Source organism: Homo sapiens, chromosome 6, assembly GCF_000001405.40.
Source record: "Homo sapiens chromosome 6, GRCh38.p14 Primary Assembly".
Classification (NCBI taxonomy): Eukaryota; Metazoa; Chordata; class Mammalia; order Primates; family Hominidae; genus Homo; species Homo sapiens.
This window is the reverse complement of record NC_000006.12, coordinates 40,867,892-40,886,951: the sequence shown is the minus strand read 5'-3', so window position 1 is coordinate 40,886,951 and position 19,060 is coordinate 40,867,892. Positions and strand designations below refer to the sequence as shown.

The 19,060-nt window shown below is 46.4% G+C and overlaps 1 long non-coding RNA gene across 1 annotated transcript in view; it reads left to right on the top strand.

Annotated features, from left to right (window-relative positions):
* LOC101929555 (uncharacterized) overlaps positions 1–8,066 on the top strand; it is a 144,395-nt gene extending 136,329 nt beyond the window's left edge. Inside the window, exons 5-6 of the long non-coding RNA NR_110873.1 lie at positions 3,849–3,930; positions 6,500–8,066. This is a non-coding gene — a long non-coding RNA (uncharacterized LOC101929555). The remainder of the gene's footprint in view (positions 1–3,848; positions 3,931–6,499) is intronic.
* The last annotated feature ends 10,994 nt before the right edge of the window (positions 8,067–19,060 follow it).

Here is a 19,060-nt window from a genome sequence, read left to right as displayed (position 1 = left end):
CTACCATCAGCTGAGATACCAGTGTTGCTCCGAGACGCTGACTCAGGCCCTCCTCTCCTCTTCTCCCTCTCCTCAAGGCTATGTTTTACATTCCCTGGTTTAGATCTCTCCTCTGAGCTGCAATTCTATACATCCAAAAGCATGTGAAACATCTCTCCCTGGCTTTCCCACAAATCCGAGGTGTCCAGATGAATCTGTCACCTCTTACCCCACCAGGTCGTTCACCTGTGTTCCCTGCCTTGGCTGAGAGATGATATCACCATCCCTTTAGACATCCAACAAAAAGCACAGGAGACTCTCCAAACACTACATCCTGTACAGTCTACTTCCTAAACATCTCCAGTGTCCCCTTCTATCCACACCCCCTTGGTATAACTTGTTTTCCCTCCACTGGTCTCCCTATCCAGGTCCAAACTACAGAGAAGCCCAGGTGAGCTAATGAAATGTGTATCTTTCTATGTCTTTTTTGTTTGAAATCCCTTGGTTACTCCCCTCACCTACCAGAATCCCCTGAGCTCCTGCACCCAACCCACTCAGCGCTGGGGGTCAGGTCCTTGCTCTTCCCCAGTGGTTTCCACAGCTACAGCCGGCACATTCTCTCTGCATCTACACGGGCCTCCTCCATACTTCTGCCTCGCATCTTGGCCTGGTTAATGCCGATTCCTTTTCTGAGCTGAACCTTCTTGCCAGAATGGAGACTCTTCCTAGCTCATCCTGTGTGCTCATCAGTCTACGATTCCATCCACCACTTGTCGCCAGGATTCCCTACCTCCCTTCTCTCTCTCTCTCTTCCTCTCTCTATCTTTCTTCTTTCTCTGTTATAAAAATTCCAAACATATGCAAAACAGAGAGAATAGTAATAAACTCCTCATAGTATAATGAACTCCCCATAATTGGCTTCAACAATCAGTAACTCATAGACAATCTTACAATCTTGCTTGATCTAGACACCCCCCTGCTGACTCTACACACACACACACACACACACACACACACACACACACACACACACGGCGAGTTTAAAGCCAATTCTAAACATCATATTATTTCATCCATAAACATTTTAGTTTCTATATCTAATAGATAAGGAACTTAAAAAAACCACAATACTATCTCAACATACCTTATAATTAGTTAAAATAATCAAATATCCACAAATGTTCCAGTTTTTTTGATTGCCTTATAATAGTTCTTTCTAACAGCATTTGTTTAAATCAGGATCCACATAAGGTCTTACATGATGATTGATTGATATGTCCCTTAAGTCCCCTTTAATCTATAGATCTTCCCTCCCTCTTACTTTTGCCCGTTGTAGTGTATTTACTGAGGAAGTCCGGTGTTTGCCCTGTAGTTTCCCGCTGTCTGAATTTTGCTGATGGTGTCTTTATAGAGTCCTTTAACATGACCTCAGCTCCTCATGCTTCTATAAATGATTCCACTGGGTAGTCTCACTGTCCACTTCTCAAAGATGGAAGTCACCTTTTATCTCTGCATCTCTAGAACCTAGAGCAATGCCTTCCATACAGTAGGCACATGAGAAAAACACTTTGGAAGGAAGGAAAGAAAGAAGGAAGAAAAACAAAGAGAATAGAAGGGCAGGACCAGGGTGTAACAATGGGCCAGTGTTTCTCAATGTGATCCACATACCAGAATTATCTCTAATTGATCTGTTACAAACGATGGTTCCTGGGCCAGTGTTTCTCAATGTGATCCACATACCAGAATTATCTCTAATTGATCTGTTACAAACGATGGTTCCTGGGCCTTATCCAAACTCCATGACAATCAGAACCTCTGAGTTCTGAGCCCATGAATCTGCATTTCTGACAAGCTCCCCAGACATACTTCTCATTTTGTGGCTCTGAGTCTCCTTGTCTGCACAGAGAGGACCCCTTCACTAAGGTTCCTGCCAACTCTAACATTCTGAGCCCAAGCCAGGATTCTAGGATTCCGAAGAACGGGCTACTTCACTTCAAATGTCATACATTTGAAGAAAGCAAAACCTAGCACCTGACTCTGCGCCTGAAGTCAACTGTTCTTGCCTTTAGTAGGTTTCCTCCATTCAGGTTGTGGGTTTCTCCAGGGCGCAGCCTTCAGTTTCCTAGTCTCTTTGGGTTGGTGATGTGACCCACCTGTCGTAGAGCCGCTGGTGAATCCCACTGTCTGTCAGGCTCCTGGTCAACCCCCTTCTCTGGGCCATCCCCTCTCCAGCTCCCCAAACACCCAGGCGTATTCCGCACCTCTGCACATTTCAAAATCTGCCTTCCCCTCTCTCAAGTCACCCTCCTTCCTTTCCCTACCTTAGGGCTATGGGCTTTGGTTTCTCCTCTAATCATTATTTGTTTGTTTATCTTTTCCCTGGTTTTTAACCCCAGGGACAGTTCTCCTCACCAGGCCAGTTTGAATTAATTTTGTAGGGACAATTCCACAAGACAGTGTATCAACTGCTGTATTAAAATCAAGATGTATTGCATCCTTTCCATCCTTCCCATCTCTTAATTTCTTAGTTCCCTCAAAGGCACAATCAAGTGTTGTCTGGCATAATTTGTTCTTTATAAACCCAGACTGCTCATTGCACGGACTTATAATTTGAGAAAGATTTTTGGCAGTGTTTTATTTCTGTAATACTTTTCTTTATTGTATTTGGTGATTGAATCTCAGTGATTAAGGTGACAGTGAGGTGGACCTCAGGCCCAAGCTCCCTCACTGAGGCCTTCTCCCAGACTTTGTCCATCTCATTCAGTCCTCTGCCCTCTGGCCACGATCTAGTCATGCCATCGCCTGAAGGCTAGGGCCATTAAAAGCGAGGGACACAAGCTACAGGGGTCTTTGTCCAGCGTGCAGTGGACAAGCTCAAAGGATAAAAATGGACTTGCAGAACAAGGGCCTATAGGGTATGGAGGAGTGATGACAGGCATGGAGGGTGTTACAGATTGAATTGTGTCTCCTCAGAAGTTCTGTGTTGAAGTCCTAACTCCTGGTACCTCTGGATGCAGTCTTACTTGGAAATAAGGTCATTGCAGGTGTAGTTGGTTAAGATGAGGTCCTTAGGATTGGCACTGATTCAGTATGGTTGGCGTCTTTATAAAAAGGGGACATTTAGACATGGAAGTGAACACAGAGAGAGTATCATGTGAAGATGAAGGCAGAGCTGGGTTGATGCTTCTACAAGCCAAGAAATACTAAAGATTGGCAGCAAACCGCAGAAAACTAGGGGAGAGGCATGGAACAGATTCTCACAGCCCTCAGAAGGAACCAACCCTAGTGACACTTTGGTCTTGAATTTCATGCCTCTAGTACTGTGAGACAACACATTTCTGTTGTGTAAAATCATCCTGTGTGTGGTACTTTGTGGTACTCTTTTATTTTTTATTTTTTTTTATTTTTTTGCAGCTCGAGGAAGCTAACACACTGAGTATGAATGTGGGCTCTGCAGTTAGCCAGACCCAAGTTTGAATCCTGGTTCCATACTTCATTAGCCATGTTGCCTTGGACAAGTTAGCTTAACCTCTTCTAACCCCTGATGCCTCATCTAAAGTAGAGTTATCTAATACTTTCCTTAGTGGTATTGGGAGGTGTGGCAGAGGCTGTGAGTGTTCTGTCTACATTCCTCTAGCCAACCAGGCAGTGAGGGACCAAAGCTTTTTCTCCTCTGATGAGGGGACAAACCTGAGCAGTGTTTCATATGGTCTCCCTGAGGCTTGAACCAGTTTCCCAGAGCAGTGACTTCTACATTTACATACCCTTTATGAGCTTTTCTTCCCTCACTACCTTGCTCCCCATTCCCTCATAGTAATTCCTGCATCACCTCCCAACTAAACTACTTGCTCCCGAATTTTTGTTTCAAGGTTTGCTTTCCAAGGAACCCAAATGAAGATAGAATGACTCAAAGAGAAGATGTATAGAAGTACTTACAGCATGTGGCACATGGTAAGCACTCAATTTGTTTTAGTGAGTCTGATGTTGCATTCCTGCAGCATAAATGATGTGCAGTCAGCCTGTGGTGTTTGGAAATGGAAGGTGTATGTGCGTGCACCCAGCCTCCAAAGTTGGTAACATAGTGTGAATAGGGAATCTCCACTCTATAATTCATGCACCGTCTGGTCTGATGGGTTGGTCATGTGGCCACCGGGAGAGAGCCGGAACTGTGTGGATATGCAGGCATTGAAAAGTGTACTCTGGGTGTGCAGTAGGAGTACTGTGTTTAGATGTCATGTGAGAGTACAGATTATAGGGAGTATCTACACATGTACAAATGTCATTGTGCAGTGTATAAGGGGAAGCTGGTCATCCCCTCACCCTTGCAGCCTCAGTGCCCAGCCTTGAGTGTTTGGAAGCCCTAGGAGAGCTCACCCAGACTCAGGCAGAGCCGGGCCCATCACCATCAGCTGGCCCGCTGCCAGGAATTGCTTGATTGATTGCCACTCTGCCTGGCTGCTGGAGCACTGGGAAACACAGCAACTGTTCCTAGGAGGTGAAAAGTCCAACCAAACCAGTGGTTTTTCTCCACTCCACACTCACTAGCAGTTTTTCTTTCTTCCCATGCTGCCAGGACTTGCCTGGTTTTGTGGTAGAATGAATGAAAGACTTTGTGTCACAGAAACCCCTGTGATGTGTGCTGAGGGCCACTGCCTGCTTTGAAGCACTCCTGTCTCCCAAGCAAAGAATACACACTCAGGGAGTTGGAAGGAGCCTCAGCTTTCATTTGAATTCGCCCATCATTGTACATATGAGAAAATGACTGTTACTTACTGCAGAGAAGTGTTGACATCTGGGGTTAGACAATTCTTTGTCGTGGGGCTGCTCTGTACACCGTAGGATGTTTAGGAGCATCCCTGGCCTCTACCCACTCCATGCTGGCACCACCTCCTACCCCCAAGTTGTACCAACCAAAAATACCTCCAGGCATTGTCAAATGTCCCCCTGGGGGACAAATTGCCCCGGATGAAGAATCATTGCTGTAGAGAAATCAACACAGAATGAGCGTTTGTGAACAAACTAGGGGCGCTTGCTTATGAGTCCTGGATGATATCAGCTTGCATGGTAGCTGAAAACAGGTGATAACGCAATCTGTAGTGATAAATATCTGGCTTCAAATTTCCTTTCTCATTCACCAGCTTTGTGACCTTGGATATAAAATGAAAATCTAATCATACCACTCCCCTGCTTAAAACCATCCCCTGGTTCCTCATTTTTCTTAAAATACAATCCATCTTCCTTACCATTGTCTACCAGACCTAAACCTTGTTGTATACCACTTCCTGTTCTCACATGCTCTCCTGCAGCCACACAGAGCTCCTTCTGTTCCCTGAGTAGGCAAAACTCCTTTCTGTTCCGGTCCCCAGGTTTTTGCACTTGCTGTTCCCTCTGGCTAGAACATCCTTTCTGCAGATCACTGTGTGTCTGGCTGCCTCCCCATTGCTCATGCCTCAGCTTAAATGTCTGTTTTTCCCACAACAACGTAAGCTCCATAACAGGACCTAGAAGAGCATTAGATAAATAATGTACTATCATAGGTTTGTGGTGAAGATAAAATGAGAGAATAATAATAATAATAAATAGCAGTAATACTAAAGCACTTGGCAAGCAAGCTCAGGGCATATAGTAAATACTCAATAAGTGGTGATTATAATATTATAATTTATTTTTATCATGAAGTTTAGAGATAATCTGTCATTGTAGCTGGCCCAAATCATCTGACCTCCTCTTCACATTTTGACAGTTCCCCACAGTGTGACTCCTACCTCCCCAGTGCTTACTCCAAAAACACTACATTTCCTAGCTAGGGTGACCAATCTGTCCTGTTTTGCCTGGGGCTTTTCTGATTTAGCACTGAAAGTCCTGCAACATGGGAAACCCCCAGTCCCAGACCAGCTGGGATGGCTAGTAACCCTATTGCTAGCTTCCAATATGACTTCTCGTTAGGTGTGACTGAGACATTGACTGGGGAGTGAGTTAAATGAGAGACCAGGCAAGGGGTAGAACACTCTTTGTGCTGGTGGCTAGTGTGTGTGTGTGTGTTTGTGTTGGAGTGGGGGCGGTGGTAGTGATGGCAGCTTGCCAACCATGACACAGGTATAGGTTTCTTTACTGGACCAGTTCTAAGGTTTGTTCAGGTATTTGTTTCCAGTAACTGAGCATAGAGGGCGTTTCTTCTGCAGTTCCAATGATTTTGTGAGCTCTCTATAACTGTACTAAACTGCTCTCTGCTTAAACTACCTAGAGAGTATTCTGTTGTCTGCAACTGAGAAGCTCGACCAATACATACAACAATTTTGCCAGTGTCTTCAGCAAGTAAAGAGCTTCTCAAGGGATGTTTGAGATAAATCAGTATCTGACAATCCAGGGGGTTTCTCATCACCAGTCCTTTCACTTGATGAGATAAGTGGCTGTGTCCGTCATTTCAAATGCTCCAAAGACAGAGTCTGCTGCACTGTGTGGCAAGATCTAGCCCCTGTCAGTGTGATCAGGCCATCAACACAGACCTCTTGCTTTCTAGGTCTCTGTGCCTGGGCACCAAGCAGACTGTGGTATCAATTACAGTGGACCCTGTGCATCCCTCAGCCATCCAGGCAGGTGCAGACACTCCTCAGGCTAGGGATAGCCTCAGGAGACTGACTCAGCCAGAAGGTTGCCCTGGAGAAGACCAGGTAGTCCCTGTTGGCATGCTCAGAGGACGTGTAGATCTCTCATGGATGGTCAGGACAATCACCAGTACCAGGATATCTGGATCAGGTAAAAGATATTCCAAGAGGAGGTTCAGTTCAGAAGGCAAATGGGGCAGCAATCAGCACTGAGATCCCTGTTCATACACAATGGGTAAGAGACCCAGGGACCTAATTCAGCCCAAGGGAATGGGTTCAGGTGGCGTCTGGGTGAGAATCAGGGCCAGCGACCATCATCTGGGACTGAGAGGACAACTCAATTCAGAGGCAGAAATTCAGATTTCTTGAGGGGCAATCTAGCATTTATCTTTGAATTAGCATGAATTCTTATAGAAATGCAGTGTTGCTTTATATGTATATGATTTTGAGTTTACACAAATAGTACAGTATTATGAACCTTGTTCTGTATTTCACTTTTTAAATCCTAGCACTGATTTTTTAAAAACATTTTCTTTCAGGTATATTTGTTTATTTATTTACTTATGTATAACTTTTATACAGTAACATGAAAAATATTAAGTGTGTAGCTCAATGAATTTTTAATAACAGCTTTGTTGAGATCTAAAATCTCAATCACTGATCATAAAATTCACAGTTTTAAAGTTTCAGTAGTTTTTGGTATATTCACAGTTGTGCAATCTTTACCACTGTCTAATGCAGAATATCTTCATCACCCCCAAAATAAATCCTGTACCCATTAACAGTCACTTCCTGTTCTTCCCTGCTCCTCACCCGTGCACCCATTAGTCTACTTTCTGTCTTATGGATTTGCCTCTGCCTCTGTGGATGTTGGATATTTCATATAAGTAGAATCATATATGACCTTTCATTTCTGGCTTCTTTTACTTAGTATAATGTTTTCAAGGTTCACCTATGTCGTGGCATGCATAAGTACTTCATTTCTTTTTACTGCTCAGTAATATTCCATTGTATGGATATACCACATTTTGTTTATCCATTCTTCAGTTGATGGACATTTGGGTTGTCTCCACATTTAAGGTATTATTGACATGAATAATGCTGCTATGAACATTCATGTATAAGTTTTTGTGTGGACATGTAGTTTCAATTCTTTTGGGTGTATACCTATGAGTGGAATTCCTGGATCACATGCTAATTATATCTTTAACATTTTGAGGAACTGCCAAACTGTTTTCCAAAATGGTTGCACCATTTTACATTCTCACCAGGAATATATGAGGGTTCCAATTTCTCTACCTCCTTGCCAACACTTGTTATTTTCTTTTTAAATTATAGCTATCCTAGTGGGAGTGAAGTGGTATCTCATTGCACATTTTTTTTTGCATTTTCTGAATGACTAGTGATGTTGAGTATTGTTTCATGTGCTTATTTTAGTGACCATTTGTATATCTTCTTTGAATAAATATCTACTCAAGTGTTCATTGAATTTTGACATGTGTCAAGTTACCCTCGTGTAACTATCACCCAAATCAAGATACAGAACATTTCTACCTCCCTAGAAGACTCCCCTGTTCTTCTTCCCAGTCAACTTCTTTCCCCAAGAGTAACTATTATCCATTTTTATTTATTTATTTATTTATTTTTGAGATGGAGTCTCACTCTGTCGCCCAGGCTGGAGTGCAGTGGCACAATCTCGGCTCACTGCAACCTCTGCCTCCCGGGTTCAAGCAATTCTCCTGCCTCAGCCTGCCGAGTAGCTGAGACTACAGGCGCATGCCACCACGCCCTGCCATTTTTTTTTTTTTGTATTTTAGTAGAGATGGGGTTTCACCGTGTTGCCCAGGCTGGTCTTGAACTCCTGAGCTCAGGCAATCTGCCCGCCTCAGCCTCCCAAAGTGCTCGGATTACAGGTGTGAACCAACATGCCCGGCCTGAGTAACTATTATTCTGATTTCTATTACCATAGACTAGTTTTGTCTGCTTTTGAACCTCAAAGCAATGGTACTGGATGAGGTTTTTTTTGTTTTTGGTTTTTTTTTGACAGAGTTTCGCTCTGTCACCCAGGCTGAATGCAGTGGCGTGATCTTGACTCATTGAAACCTCCGCCTCCCAGGTTCAAGGGATTCTCCTGCTTTAGCCTCTCACGTAGCTGTGATTATGTGTGCACCACCATACCCAGCTGATTTTTTTGTGTGTTTTGGTAGAGATGGGGTTTCACCATGTTGGCCAGGCTCGTCTCAAACTCCTGACCTCAAGACGTCCACCCACCTCGGCCTCCCAGAGTGCTGGGATTACAGGCGTGAGCCACAGCGCCTGGCCATGGATGAGCTCTTTAATATCTGGTTTCTTTTACTCAATACAGTGCATGTGAAATTTATCCAAGATGTTCTTTGCTTTTTTGGTCATTACTATGTAGTATTCCATTGTATGAACATACTGCAGTAGGCTCACTCATTCTACTGTTGAGGTTGATTTGGGTTGGTGGTAGTTTTGGGCTATCACAAATAAAGTTTTAGCACTTTGAAAAGTCTGTTCATTCAGCTGGTCTCTCCAAGAGTACAGATTAGCTACCTGGGTCTCAGATCTGGCTGCCACCAGAGACTTAGTGATGGGGACACACCTGAGAACCCAGTGGCAGTCAGGCTGGGATGCTGGTCCTCAGTCTGAGGAGGGTGAGCCAGTTGCAGGGTGGTGGTGTGGTGGCATCAAAGTGCTGAGCTGTGACTTGACAGAAAAGGTGAAGGTGGAGGAGGCAGGGGGTTTGAAGGCTGGGGAGCAACCCTGGTGGAGACAAGACTGCAGTTACTCACTTCTAGAGATGAGTCAGAGATGAGCCAAGGGGCCTCACCTCTCCCAAGGAACTTTAATCATGCAGTGACTGGCATGGGGACCACAGACTTGCACTCATGTGAAGGGCCCCCTGGGCATAACACAGAAGAACACAGTGTGCATGGTGTCCCTGGAACTGGGCTACTCGACCCTGAAGGGGCATGGACATTTGTGGGACCACAAGCAGGAAAGTTCCAGCATTTTCTTAGGCTTAGCTGTGTCTATGAAGGTAAAACCACCAAACAAAATGAGTATTTTCCTAGTGCCAATGCAGAGCCTACCCACGCACAGTCCTTGGGCAGATCAAGGCTGTGCGTGTTCTCTCAGCCAGAACTGCACTCTGGACATGAGCTACAGGGTGACCTCATGAGGGTCCATTGCGGATATGCACATGGATGTTCTGTGTAGTGATGCTGTGGCAGCTGGGATTGGAGGCAACACAGGTGTCCATCGTTAGAGGAATAGAGAGGTGGCATGTGGCAGAACCTCCTGCAAACTCTGAGCAGCAGCCAGAATGATGAACTCCATCTGCACATAGCTTCTCTGCTAGACATTTTGAAATAGTGCTGAAGGTAAAAAAAAAGCAAAGTAAAAAGAACAGAGTCTGTAATGCAATACCATGTGTATGAATTAAAAAGGCATGAATATACAAATCTAATCTCAGGGTACACTACAAAAGATAGAGTGGTTGCCTATGGTGGGGGTGGTGAAGGGTGGTAATGGCAATGTGGGTGGGAGAGGGGTCCTGCATGATGATCTGAGAAGGTTGAGTGACCTGGCCAAGACACTTAACACTCACATACCTGCACAGAAAGAATGGGAGGGAGGAAGGAAGAAAAGAAAGAAGGAAGGAGAGGAGGAAAAGAGAAAGGAAGATAGAGAAAAGGAAGGAAGAAAGGAAAAAAGAAGGGAGGAAAGGAGGCAGGGAAGGAAGAAGGGAGAAAAGAGAAAGGAAGGAAAGGAAAATGGAAGGAAAGAAGGAAGGAAGGAGGGATGGAAGGGGGAAGGGAGAAAGGAAGAAAGGAAAACAGAAAAAGAAGGAAGAAAGAAAAAAGAAGGAAAGGAGGGAGAAAGAGAAGTCACTTCTGCTCTCTCAGACTTGCTCGAGGACCTTCACTGAGGTGGGGGCTGCCAGTGTAATGTTCAAAGTTGTTGCCATTTCCCAGGAGTTTCTGGAGGGGCAGGGAGGGCTGAACGGTGCGATTCCAACCACCCAAGGAGAAGGGAATTAGCAGTGCTCTCCTCCTCTCATTAATTGAGCACTCATCTGGGCGGGCCTGGGCTTACTAAGTTTCCAGTTCATCAAGATTATAAATGAGATTTCTCCTCCTTCCTGTGGAGCAGGTTGAGATTTATACTGCATCCTGGGCAAAGGATTCTCTGGGCTTCATCTTCCTTTCTGGGGCTTCTTTCTTTAGAAAGGTGGGTTGGGCTCCCTTGACCAGAGAAATCCCAAAGCTGAGAGAGTCCTTCTGCCCACCCCCAGCCCTCCCCCAGGCAGGAGTTGGTCCTGTGAGGGAAACAGGTTGTACCTAAGCTTCTGCCATTTTCTGTCTCATGTCTGTCCCTCCATATGCCCCCTCCCTCAGTCCTGCCCCCACCCTACCTCACATCCCTCAGCAAGCTCTCCACTCAGACCCTAGCTCCAGTTCTGGGGAGGGGAGGCTGGTGCAGAGTATAGGGGATAGCGCAAGTGCTCTTCAGGAGCCACAGACAGAGATCTGCTTACCCTGAGCACATGGCAGCTGGGGCGTTCTTCTTGCTCGCCTATTTGTGAAGGTCTACCCAGAGGAAATGGGCTATGGCACCACAAAATGGTCCAACTGGAAGTCAAACATGAGACACTAGAAAGTATCCTACAGGCTGCAGTGCTTGGGACTTGAGACCCCTGCCAGGAATCCCCAAGGAGAAAAGAGGAGTTCATGGACTTGTGGCCTTGAGCCTCTTGTGCTGTCACTTATACCCATTTCCATAGAATTACAGAGTGTCGGTGCTGGACACTAGACAGTGTAACATCGTCTTGTCCAACTACCACTCATCATGTAGAAGGGATGTGAAAAGGAAGGATGCTTCCCAGGGAATGTGGGAACAGAAGGAAGCCACGTCTCCCTGTGCCATCCTAGACTACCGCTGTGTGTGTGTGTGTGTGTGTGTGTGTGTGTGCTCACACACACACGTGAGCAGCTCCTGCCTTGACCTGAGCCTAGAGTGTTCCTCCTTGGAAGGGGACCCTATTTCACAATCCATCTGGTCCTGGAGACCAGTGGGGCTAAGTTTTGTTTAGGGATGGGGGGAGAAAGCAAGTGAAGGAGAGACAGAGAAAGAGATGAAAAGACAGGGACAAAGACCTCTTGACAGAGAGAAATTATAAAATAGGGCAAGAAAGAGAGAGAAGAGCAGACACAGGGTTGGAGAAAATGAAGAAGGAGGAGCCAGAAAGAGAGGAATGAAGGGTGACCAGCAGACCAGGCAGAGCTCACAGCCCACCCTGGCATGGTTTCTCTTTGCAGAGGGTTGCTCTCCCCATCACCACCCTCCTAGTCATTCTCTGGAGCCCCTGGTCATAAGTGGGTATTAGCTTAGCCCAGTGCTTGTGTTCAACTGTCATCCAAGCTGAGCCTCCCTTACTGCACCCACAACTACCTGGTTAAGTAAAGCCTTAAGGAGGGGTGGCAGGGAGGAGGTCCATGTGAGCCAGTGCCCTGGGTAACTCCCACCGTCTTCCTTGCTTTCTTCCTATGCCTGAGACCAGAGCCTAAGCAAGCCAGTGTGTGCTTTGGCCCCAGAATCCCTGTTGGGGGCAGCAAAGGAGATACAAAGTGATGGAGGAAGCACGGTGGTAGCCCTGTGGCTTCAGTGACCCTGTGTGAGACAGAAATCAGGGTTGGACTGGAAGAATGGGGAACAGGTATTTCCTGCGGTCCTGCTGAACAGTGGCTCAACCAGTCCACCCAAAATGTCAGAAGCAGAGAAACTGTAAACATGAACAGCGGTGCCATAGCAAGAGCTGGCCTGTGGAGGCTGGCACTGTGAGCCCAGGCACAGCACCCCAATGTACAAAGAGCCCCCACTTATGAGCCATGTGAGGGCAGGCAAGGTACTTTAACTTCCCTGGCCTCAGTTTCCTCATTGTGAAATGGAGCTAATAATAATAACCTAACAGGGTTGTAGTTATTTAATAAAATATCCCAGCACTGTTTCTGTTCCCTAGTCAATGTACAATTCACAGTCTTTTCCCCCATTCCCTATGAGAAGGCACGGGAGCTTCTAGACTCTGGGCAGAGCCCCAGACACAGCAGTCAGGATGCTCAGATGGAGAAGAAAAGCCCTTAAAGCTCTCTGTAGCAGCTAGCGCTACCTGTGTTTGGAAGGCAGCCAGAGCCCCACAGACATGCATGGGAACACCCAGGATTGTAATGGAAGAGGTACAATGCCAATCATTTAAATTTAGGTGTTCTTGGTGTCCTAATTTGATGGAAGGGTAAACTGAGGCAGACAGTGGGGAAACGATAGATAATGCAGAGTGAACAAGTCTTACTTTGGAAAAAACAGTTTCCCTGGTGGGAGAGGAAGGGAGATTGTGCTGTGACTATCACCCAACTCAAATGTGGAACCCAAGATGGGCAAGAAGCTCAGGTGGGGCTAATGCTGTACAAAACACCTGGTTAGCTCCGATAAGCAGCTGTCCCAAGCCAGGACTCTGCCCCGGCTGCACTCATCCAGCCCGGAGGGGCCATCAGTCACTCCTTTCTTCTTGCTCACTCTGTCTTCATCCCCAGCTGTCAATTCATGTGTCTCAAAATGACACGAGTTAAACATCTTAAAGAACTAGGGATTTATCATATGGCGATGTCAACTCAGAAAGCAGAACCAGGGATTTGTATCTCAGTAGTGGATGATTACAGTTTTCTTGGTGCTATGAAAGCCCTATATCCTCATGTGTCATGATCTGATTAATAGGCAGTGTTGGGGTTGAATTACATCCCCCCAAAAGAGATGTTGAGGTTCTAACCTGTGAATGTGATCTTTTTGGAAACAGGGTCTTTGAAGATATAATTAAGGTAAGATGTGGTCATTAGAGTGGGCTTCCACCCCATATAGCTATTATCTTTATAAGAAGAGAAGACAGAGAGAGAGAAGGAAGATGGTCATGTGAAGATGGAGGTAGAAGTTAGAATTATGCAGCCACGAGCCAAGGAATTCCTGGGGCTACCAGGAGCTGGAGGAGACAAGGAAATATTCTCCCCTGAAGGTGGCAGAGGAAGCATGGTCCTGCCAACACCTTAATTGGCAACCCCAGGAAATGAATACAGTAGGAAAAAAAATATTTAAGTGGGAGGAAGGAGGCTGGGAGGAAGGAGGGAATTCTGTTTAAGGGAACCCTGGAATCTCTTTTCTTCTACCCCCATGTCTTTTTCTATTTTCTATCCTCTACCTCCTTTCAACTCTTCAGCCAATGGATCTTTAATTCTTAATCAATAAGCATCGGTGTCCTGCCTCCATGTGCCTGGCTTTGTGAAGGAGGCAGAAGCGGCACAGCGACGTGAGTTGAACTCCTTGCCTGTTGACCTCTAGCCTCCCGAAGGCAGTTCTTGGGAGTGGGAAAGGGTGCCAGCTCCAGGGTCAGAGCACCTGGGCCCAAATCTCGCTGTCTGGGTGACCTCAGGCATGTGATTACATAGCATGAGCTTGCTTCCTCCTCTGCAAAATGGGGAAAATAACACACCTATTTTGTGAGGTTCTCTTGAGAATTAAATGAGATAATACATGTTAAATGATTAGTACAAGCAATCAATCAGCATTAATTATTGTTATGACTGTTATTATTAGCGTAGGGAAAAGAACATGAACAGCATTCAGCTGACTACAGGATAAAGTGTGATAAATGCTGGCACAAAGGTGCAGATGAAGCATTTAGAGAAGAAAGAGAGATGAATTATTTCTACCCAGAAATCAGGGAAGGCTTTGTAGAATCACAGCATTTGAATAGAGCCTGAAAGGACGGGTAGATGTTACCCAGTGGAGAAAGGGGGATAGTATGTGTGTAGGTGGAGAGGGGGCTTGGGGGAGGGATAAGGGAGTTTCTCCTGGAGGAAACTGCATTCACTGAGGCAAGGAGGGCTGAGAGGTTCAGCAGAGAGAGTAGATCTATGTGTGTGAAGCATCCTGTGTGCGGTGCATGGTGAGAAGTGAGACCTAGGACAGGCTGGGTCTAGATGGTTGTTGCTTTGGTGTCAGGAGGAGTCTGGTTTTTATTATGAAGACAGTGACCCCTAAGGGAGTTAGAGCAATACGATGGAGGAAGCTAGGGTGGGGGCGGGGAGGCCAGCAAGTTCTCAGTGGTCCACTCCAGTGACAAAGGAAGTCTGAACCAGGCTGGAGTGGTGAAAAGGAAGGGGCAGATTAAAAAGTCATGGAAGTAATACTGAGGGGATTTGATAACTGGTTGGGAGTGAGAGGAGAGGGAGAGAAACATCTAAGATGGTTTCTTGGTTTCTTGCCAGAACTATCTGGAAGGAAAGTAATGGGAGATTCTAGACTCCACAAAGGCTGAGGCCTCATCCTTTCCCCTTACCCCATCCCAGCACCCCACAGGGCCTGCATGGGGTGGGTGCTCAATACATAAATATTTGTTGAATGAATTTGATGCCAGCAGTGGGGAGGGGGACCAAGGGAAGGATAACAGGCTTGGAGGGGTGTTCACAGTATGGTCAACGTTAAGATACCCACAGGACCATCATGTCAGGCTGGCCTGTGGGCTGCCAGACATGCAGCCTTGGAGAGAGGTGCTGGAGGGAGATATAAACTTTGGAGCCAATAGCAACCAAGTGAAAACAAAAGCCACACGTGGGTTTAAAGTCCAGAGATGGCTCAGATCTCTCAGCGGGCTCCATGAGATTTGTCATAATAATTAGAGACAATCTCAGATGCTGGGTGTAAAGGGAGCACGGTGACAGATGAATGTAAACTAATTATCCTCACAGCAACCTTGAGAAACAGGAATGTGCATGCATGTTTCCTTGCTAAGATACGGAGAGGAAAAAGGACCAGGAGAGTTGCATGATGTCCCAGAAGGCTGCCAGAGCCCTGGCACAGCTGCAGGAACACCCAGGAACTCCTTCCTCCACTATCCACCCTTGGAAATGTCAGCATGGGTACTTTCCTCATCAAGGAATGATTTTAAGAATTTGTTTTCAAAATAAAAAGGGGTTTTAGAGTTGGGAAGCCCTGCTGGTTGTAATCAGATGTGTTTTATGGGACCATTCACCAGCACTTGAAGAACAGGGATGACCTATAAATGTATTCATGGATTCAGACCCAGGGCAGGTTTCATGGGCTGATTACAAATGCCTTGGGGATGGCATCAGCATTCAGGAGACACAGTCACCCCTGAACACCAGCCACAGTGCCATACACACCTTCACCACCTGCACTCCCACCTCCTCCTCATCCCTGCTGCTGTGATGCCAACTCCTCAGTCTCAGCAGCTCCTGGAAGCTCTAGGACACCTTTCAAGAAAACCACAAGTCCTTATCCAGATCAGGGCAGCCCAGGACATTATCTTTGTCCCCTCAACCCACATAAGCCCAGCCTATTCAGCCTAATCCGCATGACTTCCTCAATCAGCCTGGCATCCCACTCTACCAGGTCCCCCTCCCACCTCCTCCACCATAATAAGTTTTATGCAGAGGGTATAGCACTTGAAGCTAGGCTGACCTGGCCTCCAGTCCTGACCACTTAGACCCTGATCTTGCATGAGTCAGTCTCAGAGACTCAACTTTCCCATCCATGAAAGATCTCTCTCCTTGTCTGTACCCTCCTGGGCCTAGCACCATGCTTGGTGCACATTTGGTGGTGGTCCACAGATGCCACGTGGATGCATAAATGCACGGCTTCCTGAGAGGATGACACAGATGCACGTGGATTTTTATCACTTGCTGAATGGAAGTGAGACTTAACAGGGACCTCTTAGGAGCCTATGGGCTCCCCCAAGCATAAAAACAAAAAAACAAAAAAACTTCTTCCTTTCCTTCAAGGGAAATTTCAGGCACCTAGCTTTCCCTGAGAAGTAAATGTGATAAGGAAGAAGGTAATACTAGCTTAAGACCATAGCCAAGGAAGTTAGAATCATGGGATGCTTGGTTCCCTGGTAGAAACTAGAGATAACATCTTAACACAGGTCACTGAGTTGTTTTTCAGAAACCTGGATCCCCACCAAATGGATCTGCTGGCACCTAGACTTCAGGTAAGGGGAAACTGATGCCTGGACTCTGACCACTCTTCTTTGTTCTAAATTTCTCCCTGAGGGGCCTGGAGAAAGTCACATCCTCCAGCCAGAGCTAACATCCCTTTTTGCTGATCCCACATTTTTAGGCAATCCTTCCTAAACCAACAATAAATCAGAAAATCTTTGAATCCACTTCTGACCTGTGGATTCCTGTTTTGAGATGTCCCACTGTGTTAGGTCAAACTAATGTATGTTCTCCATGTATTGATTTATGACTTTGCCTGTAACCTCTGCCTCCCTGCCTTTAAAAACCCTTACCTGACAGCCATCTAGGAGTTGGGGTTTTAAGTGTGACCGCCCAATTCGCCTTACTTGCTGCCCTGCAAATAAATGCCTTCCTTTCATCTGCTGCAAACCTTGGTGTGGACGTTTTGGCCTTACTCTGCCAGGTAAGCAGACACCAGTTAGGTTTGAGAACAGATGCGCTTAGTAAAATAAATTGCTTCCAGATGCTGGTGATACCATCTCGGCCTCCTCTTGGTATCCTGGTTGGCTCTCTATTTGAAAGCCTCGCCCAGGCATGGTGGCTCAGGCCTGTGATCCCAGCACTTTGGGAGGCCAAGGCAGGCAGATCACCTGAGGTCAGGAGTTCGAGACCAGGCTGGCCAACATGGCAAAACCCCATCTCTACTAAAAATACAAAAATTAGCTGGGTGTGGTGGTGGGCACCTGTAATCCCAGCTACTCAGGAGGCTGAGGCTGGGAGAATCACTTGAACCCAGGAGGTGGAGGTTGCAGTAAGCTGAGATCATACCATTGCACTCCAGCCTGGGCAACAGAGTGAGACTCCATCTCAAAAACAAACAAACAAAAAAACCCAAAAACAAAACAACAAAAAGCCTCTGTCCATCTTCTGTTGCACAAATCCCTCCTCACTCTCTGAGTCCTGGTGGAGCTCCATGTTCCTCATGCAGCCCTCCTGGCTGCCCCCAGCTGGCACAACTCCATCGTCTGGCTGCTATCCGCCTTTTGGTCAGTACACTTAGTTTGCACTAGACTGGCATCACCCAACTGAGTTCTAAGGCCGACAAGGTGCTGTTTCATATTTTCTCTGTTTTTGTTCATTACATAGACCCCAAATACAGGCAGGCTGAGCAGTCAGTTGCAAAATCAGTCACCAGAAAGGATTCTGAGATTAATCACCCTGTAACATAATCTTAAAATACTGATTTTGGACTTGGGACACCGCCTAGGCACTGGTATGTTCATGGGTTCGTACATACATGTACACATGTGTGCACACCCACTTTGGGGATGGGATAGTATTTGCTTTTCTTTGAAGTTTCACTGAGCTGCCTCCCAGTACAGAGGGGCCCAGGTCTGGGCCTGGAGATGGTACACATGGTGTAAGAAAGGTTTCTCTATCCCCTGGGGCTGGTTGACTGTGATGTGGCTGCTGCTTTCCCTACTGATATGAGGTGCATGAGGAGGAGTGGAAAGGGACAAAGCTGTGCAGCTTGAGCCCAGGAAGGGACACTGCTGTCAGGCCTCTGAGCCCAAGCTAAGCCATCGTATCCCCTGTGACCTGCACGTATACGTCCAGACGGCCCAAAGCAAGTAAAGAGTCACAAAAGAAGTGAAAATGGCCGGTTCCTGCCTTAACTGATGACATTCCACCATTGTGATTTGTTCCTGCCCCACATTAACTGAGTAATTAACCTTGTGAAATTCCTTCTCCTGGCTCAGAAGCTCCCCCACTGAGCACCTTGTGACCCCCACCCCTGCCCGCAAGGGAACAACCCCCTTTGACTGTAATTTTCCGCTGCCCACCCAAATCCCATAAAACGGCCCCATCCATCTCTCCCTTTGCTGATTCTCTTTTTGCACTCAGCCTGCCTGCACCCAGGTGATTAAAAAGCTTTATTGCTCACACAAAGTCTGTTTGGTGGTCTCTTCACATGGACACGCATGAAATTTGATGCCATGACTCGGGTGAACGGGAAATAGTTTTTTCTCTGGCCCAATCTCACGCTGACAACCACTGGCTCCACGAGCCAGACCTTCAGGAAGGCATTAGAGCAGTTCCCCGAGAGGATCCCCAGTGGAACTATCAGGCAGATTCCCCAGGTACAGCTAGGTGAGATTACATGATTTCCTGCCTAGTTGAAGGGCTTAAAAGGCAGCTTACAAAGCTGTTAATTATGACAAGCTTAAAGAAACTACTCAAGGTAAAGAAGAAAACCCAGCCCAGTTCATGGCTTATTTGGCAACAACCCTGAGACGCTTTACAGACACAGACCCTGAAGGGTCAAAAGGCTGTCTCATTCTAAACATGCGTTTTATCACCCAGTCAGCTCCTGACATTATAAAAAAGCTTCAAAAATTAGAAACCGGCCCTCAAACCCCACAACAGGAA